Genomic DNA, 6,360 nt, shown 5'->3' on the forward strand with positions numbered 1-6,360 from the left:
AAAAAGGAAGAAAGAAGAAAGAGAGAACGAAGAAAGAAAGGAAAGAAAGAGAAACAGAGAAGGAAGGAAGGAAGGAGAAAGGAAAGAAGGAAGGAAGAAAAGGAAGAAAGAATGACAAAAGGAAGGAAGGAAAGAAAGATGAAAAGAAAAGGAAAGGAAAAGAAAAGAAAAAAGAAAGGAAAAAAGAAAAGCAGATAGGAAAGTGAGGGGAGAGGGCCAGGAAGACAGAAGACAGGATGGGCAAGAAGGATGGGAAGGATTCCCACACCAGATTCAGGAGTGGCTCTGCATTGGGAAATCCTTCTACAACTGCTGGGGACTTGGTTTTGCAAACATGCACAGAGAAACCTTCATCCACCTCTGTGCAATGTTGGACTGAAGTAGAAATGAGCTGCTGTTTTCTGGAAGCACCCCATTTCTTTGAGCTGATCTTCTCTAATAATGAATTCTGGTGAAGCCTGCCATTCACAGCACCCCGCCCTCCCGTCTGTAGGAGGTGGGCACAGGACCCAGGCCAGCTGATCAGAGAGCTCCCTTGCCCTGGGATGAGCACGTGACCCAGATGGCTCAATCACGGGGAAGATCCTCTTGCCTGTTGTAGCCACTATGCTGGAAGAACAGGATTTGGGCTTGTTGGCCGCCATCTTCCAGTCCACACTGGGAACCCATTTGCAGGAGGAGGGAAGGAGGACAACCCAGTTTGAGGGAGCATATGGACAGCAGCTGTGGAAGGCTCCATATGTGCCCAATACTAGATCTACCCCATCCCTTCCTGTTCCATAAATCCATACATCTTCTCCCACTTTTGCTTACCCTAGTTTGAGTTACATTTCTGACACCTGCCACCATAAAAGCCCAAATGATTACAAGGAATATTTGGCTGCAGAAAAGACCCTGCAGTCTGTGAAAAAAGAGGCTGCTGGTGCATAGTCATCACAGACCAGTGCAAAGAGTGAAACAGAAACATCCAGCTTAATCTGCAAAAGCCTTTTTGGATCTTTGAGAGGCGTTCATTAACTTACAGCAAATTGATGAGCTGATATTCTTCTTTCATCCAGGTGAGTGCATTAACTAGGTTAATTTTCCTGTCTCAAGGGACTGCTGTAGGTTAGGGTGAATGAATGAAAGAAGCAAGTTTTTAAACAGGAAAAAAGCTTCAGAGAAGTTGAGGTGACAAGCATCGCTTCACCCCCAATGGAAGGTGAGCTTGTCTGTTAGGTCCCAGGGACTGAACTGGAGTTCCGTGGTTAGGGGATGACCCATCTCAACAAGAAACTTCCATCATCCTCCCGTGGGGATCTGATTAAGATCTTCTCCAGAAGGAGATGGCCTCATGAGTTGGGGCTTTTCAATCTCCCTGTCCCTCCTCTAGAAGGGCATTGCTACTGGCCTTGCCCTGCCAAGTCTTCAGTCTACAACAGCACTGACCCGCTTCAGACACAGCCCAGATCCTTCCCAGACACGCTGTTATTCCGACTTTTTGCCCTTTCAGTCCAGCCTTCCCTATCACTTATGCTGAAATTGGGAACATTTCCCAAACCAACAGTTTCCCAGTCCACAATGTTCCCTTGCTGAGTGTCCCCACAGGACAGGCAGGCAGCCTGATAAATAAAACCAGTCATAAAACCTCCCTGCCTTAGCAAAGGGACTGCTTTGCCAGGCTGCTGTCACATAGCACTCCTGTCTCCCGTTTGACTTCACATAGTGAAAATTGTCTAAAAGATAAGGCAGGAGCTCTGGTTGACACCACCACCCCCATAGATCTCTCTCTAGAAGCATTGGAAGAGGCCGTCTCAAAAAAGAAAAAAAAATAGAAGCATTGCAGGAAAGACGTGGTTTGTAGTGAAACAAATTGGAAGTCAAGCTCAGCCTCAACCACTTACTTGCTTCTGACCTTGGGTAAGTCCTATGTACCTAGGAACCTCGGTTTTCTTTTCTTTCTTTTCCTTTTTTTTTTTTTTTTTTTGAGATGGAGTCTTGCTCTGTCACCCAGTCTGGAGTGCAATGGTGCAATCTCAGCTCATTGCAACCTCTGCCTCCTGGATTCAAGCGATTCTCGTGCCTCAGCCTCTAGAGTAGCTGGGACTACAGGCGTGTACCACCATGCCCAGCTAATTTTTGTATTTTTAGTAGAAACAGGGTTTTGCCATGTTGGTCAGGCTGGTCTCGAACTCCTGATCTCAAATGATCCACCCGCCTCAGCCTCTCAAAGTGCTAGGATTACAGGCACAAGCCACCGCGCCTGGCTGGAACTTCGACTTTCTTCTGTACAATGGAGGGGGGACAGTAATACTGCAATATTTACAATTAGGTTCAACTGAGAGTAACAGAGGTCTGAATACAGTAGCTGAAATGGGGTGGGCAGATCACTTGAGGCCACAAGTTCAAGACCAGCCTGGGTAACATAGTGGCATACTATCTACAAAAAAATAAAAATTATCCGGGCGTGGTGGCACAGGCCTGTAATTCCAGCTACTTGGGAGGCTGTGGTGGAAGGAACACTTGAGCCCAGAAGGTTGAGGCTGCAGTGAGCTGTGATTGCACCACTACACTCCAGCCTCGGTGACAGAGTGAGACCCCGTCTCTAAAAAAATAATAATAAAAAAAAAATTTGGCCATGCCTATCTGCAAGAACATCTGGGAAAGGTAGCTGCGGTAGGTAGCCTCAAAAATGCCTCCAATATCACTGGGTGCAGTGGCTCACACTTTGGGAGGCCAAGGCAGGAGGATTACTTGAGCCTAGGAGTTCCAGACAAGCCTGGGCAACATAGTGAGACCCTGTCACTACAAAAAATTTCAAAATTAGCTGAGCATGGTGGTGCATACCTGTAGTCCCAGATACTTGGGAGGCTGAGGTGGGAGGATCACTTGAGTCCAGGAGTTCAAGGCTACAGTAAGCTATGATCACGCCACTGCATGCTAGCCTGGGTGACAGAGTGAGATTCTGTCTCAAGGGAAAAAAAAGCCCCTTCTCCACTCCCCAAAAGTCCCCATTAATCCCTTTATTCCAGCATTTTCCCCCTTGTGAGGAAGAGGGGAAATTTGTATTTGTATTTGTATTCCCACTTGCTTTGAGTGTGGCTGGACCCAGTAACTTTCTTCTAACCAATAGACTATGGCTAGAAGAATAGAATTTAGTCACATAACCATGTCTAGCTGCAATAACATCTGCATTAGTCTATTTTCATGCGGCTGATAAAGACATACCCGAGACTGGGAATAAAAAGGGATTTTATTGGACTTACAGTTCCATATGGCTGGAGAGGCCTCAGAATCACGGCGGGAGGCAAAAGGCGCTTCTTTCATGGTGGCCCCAAGAGAAAAATGAGGAAGAAGCAAAAGCGGAAACCCCTGATAAACCCATCAGATCTCATGAGACTTATTCACTATCACAAGAATAACACGGGAAAGACCGGCCCCCATGATTCAGTTACCTCCCCCCAGGTCCCTCCCACAACATGGGGGAATTCTGAGAGATATCATTCAAGTTGAGATTTGGGTGGGGACACAGCCAAACCATATCAACATCTGTGGTAAAAGTGATGGGATGTTCCTTCTGAGATTAGGTTTCAAAGAGATGACAGTTCTGTCTTGGGCATCCTGTCTTGCTCTGAGGAAAACCAGCCACCAGGTAGTGAGGTGCTCCCTGGAAAGGCCCACATGGCAAGAAACTGATGCCTCTGCCAGGCAAAGTGACTCACGCCTGTAATCCCAGCACTTTGGGAGGCTGAGGTGGGTGGATCACTTGAGGTTAGGAGTTTGAGACCAGCCTGGCCAACATGATGAAACCCCGTCTCTACTAAAAATACAAAAATTAGCCAGTGTCGTGGTGTGACAGAGAAGGAATCTGTCTCAAAAAAAAAAAAAAAAGAAAAAAAAAGAGAAACTGATGCCTCTGGTCAACAGCTAGCAAGGACCTGAGGCCCTTAGTGCAACAGTCTTATCATGAGTGAGCTTGGGAAGAAGATCCTTCCCCAGATTAACCTTCAGATGATGGCAGCCCTTGCAGAAATCTCAGTGCGATCTCACAAGAGACCTGAGCCAGAGGACTCACTGAAAACATGAGATGCCAAACTTTTTTGTTTTGATTTCAGGAGCTAAGTGTTGTGCTTATTTGTTACACAGCAATAGCTAACTAATACAATAGTTTTCCAGCTAGACACATTTCTAGGATTCTGTTACTAAGAAGGAAGGGAAGGCTGGAGACAGGGAAGCAATGAATAGTCACTGTCACCAAAACTGAGGGGTTAATTTGATCAGGTCTGGCTGCCCCGCTTGCTTTGGTCACTTGCTTGTTTTATTAATTTTTCTTTTTTCTCCTTTTTTCTTTATCTTCTTTCTCTTGCTTTCTCTCTTTCTCCTTCCTTCCTCCCTTCCTTCTCCTTCCTTCTTTCCTTCCTTCCTTCCTTCCCCCTTCCCTCCCTCCCTTCCCTTCCTCCTTCCTTCCTTGCCTGCTGTGTCAATTTTTTTTATTATAATAGAGACAAGGTCTCACTATGTTACCCAGGCTGGTCTTAAACTGGGCTTAAGCGATCCTCCCACCTTGGCCTCCCAAAAAACTGGGATTACAGGCATGAGCCACCATGCCTGTCCTTTTTCTTCTTTTCCTATGAAGCTGAAGACAGTCATAGCTGAAGGCTGTGGTAGCTGAATACCGTGGCGTTAAATGCTGAAATGTACCCTTCACTAGCTTCTTTAGAGATCACATTCACAGGTCACTATGGTAATGTTTGCTTCCGTTGTTTTTCAGGAACTTAGGCCAGCTCCCATCCAGTTCAATCAGGTTGGGACCACCAATTCTTCAATGGGCCTGCCCAAATGCCCAAGAAGTGGACTTTTGATGTCAGAGGGCCAAAGATCCCACCCTCAGATCATGCTAATGCCACCACTTTCTGTACACATGTCCTGTGAAATGCCACAAACCCTGACTACTACGCTTGTGCAGAACAAACCTATCAATTAATTTTTCCCTACTGCCAATCACCTTTCCCCATGCCTTACACCACCGTGTTTCCCTAACGCATAAATATCCCTAAGCCTTATCTTCAGGAAGCAGGATGTGAGAGCTGTTCTACCACCTTGTTTGGTGGCCTTGCAAATAAATCCTTTCTCTTTTGCAAAACCCATGTCATAGTCACAGTGACTGATTTACTGCACGCGGGCAGGACAGACCTGCACCCGGCCAATAACACCACTCATACCTACTCCAAAGGGCCGTTGTGAGGATGGAATGAGGTAAATCTGTAATGTACCCATATCCAGTTTGCCAGCACCCAGGAAGTGACTAACGAGACATGGTTTTTTAATTATTATTTTATTATTATTATTATTATTGTATTTTTAGTAGAGACGGGGTTTCCCCATGTTGGTCAGGCTGGTCTCGAACTCCCAACCCCAGGTGATTTGCCTGCCTCGGCCTCCCAAAGTGCTGGGATTACAGGTGTGAGCCACCACTCCTGGCCGGAGATGTGGTTTTTAGTGAAGGGCCACTATCTAGTGTCTGCTTCCCAAGCTTTTCGCCAAGCTCCTCTAGGAGACAAGGTGGGCTGTGTCTAACATTCAATTTTCCTGACTTCTCCCCTTTGACAGTTCAGATTCCCCATGCCCTCCAGCCAATTAGTACAATTACTACTTCTTTTTCTTCTTTTTTTCTTTTTCTTTTTTTTTTCTTTTGAGACGGAGTCTTGCTCTGTTGCCCAGGCAAGAATGCAGTGGCACGATCTCGGCTCACTACAACCGGGTTCAAGTGATTCTTCTGCCTCAGCCTCCCGAGTAGCTGGGGTTACAGGTGCCTGCCACCATGCCTGGCTAATTTTCGTGTTTGTAGGAGAGACGGGGTTTCACCATGTTGGCCAGGCTGATCTTGAACTCCTGACCTCACGTGATCCGCCCACCTCAGCCTCCCAAAGTGCTGGGATTACAGGCGTGAGCCACCGCACCGGGTGTTACAATCACTATTTCTTCAAAAATAAAGATCCCCAAGCCCAGCAGGAGGGTTCACAGAATGGTAAGATTTCAGAGGGAAAAGGGCTAGAGCCCTTCTAATTCAGTTCCCCCACTCACCATTGTGAACCCAGACACTTGCACAAAGTCACAAAGCAACAAGCAGGGGTGGGACTTGGCCCCTCTGGAGAGATAACGTAGCTCTGTGTTCCTCCCTCTCTCCAAACTGCTAATGCTCAGGCAGAGGCTGGTGTATGCAGCATTTTACAAAGTTTCCTATACAAGCACTTTGGGAGGCTGAGGCGGGTGGATCGCTTGAGGTTAGGAGTTCAAGACCAGCCTGGCCAACATGGCGAAACCCTGTCTACTGAAAATACAAAAAAATTAGCCGGGCATGGTGGCACACACCTGTAATCC

The 6,360-nt window shown here is 46.8% G+C and overlaps 1 long non-coding RNA gene across 1 annotated transcript; it reads left to right on the forward strand.

The window, feature by feature from the left end:
- The first annotated feature begins 1,633 nt into the window (after positions 1-1,633).
- Positions 1,634-5,126, forward strand: LOC105370728 (uncharacterized). Its single transcript, XR_931977.3, has 2 exons — positions 1,634-1,899; positions 4,751-5,126. It is a non-coding gene; the product is annotated as an uncharacterized LOC105370728 (long non-coding RNA).
- The last annotated feature ends 1,234 nt before the right edge of the window (positions 5,127-6,360 follow it).

This window comes from Homo sapiens, chromosome 15, assembly GCF_000001405.40.
Source record: "Homo sapiens chromosome 15, GRCh38.p14 Primary Assembly".
NCBI classification, from domain to species: domain Eukaryota; kingdom Metazoa; phylum Chordata; class Mammalia; order Primates; family Hominidae; genus Homo; species Homo sapiens.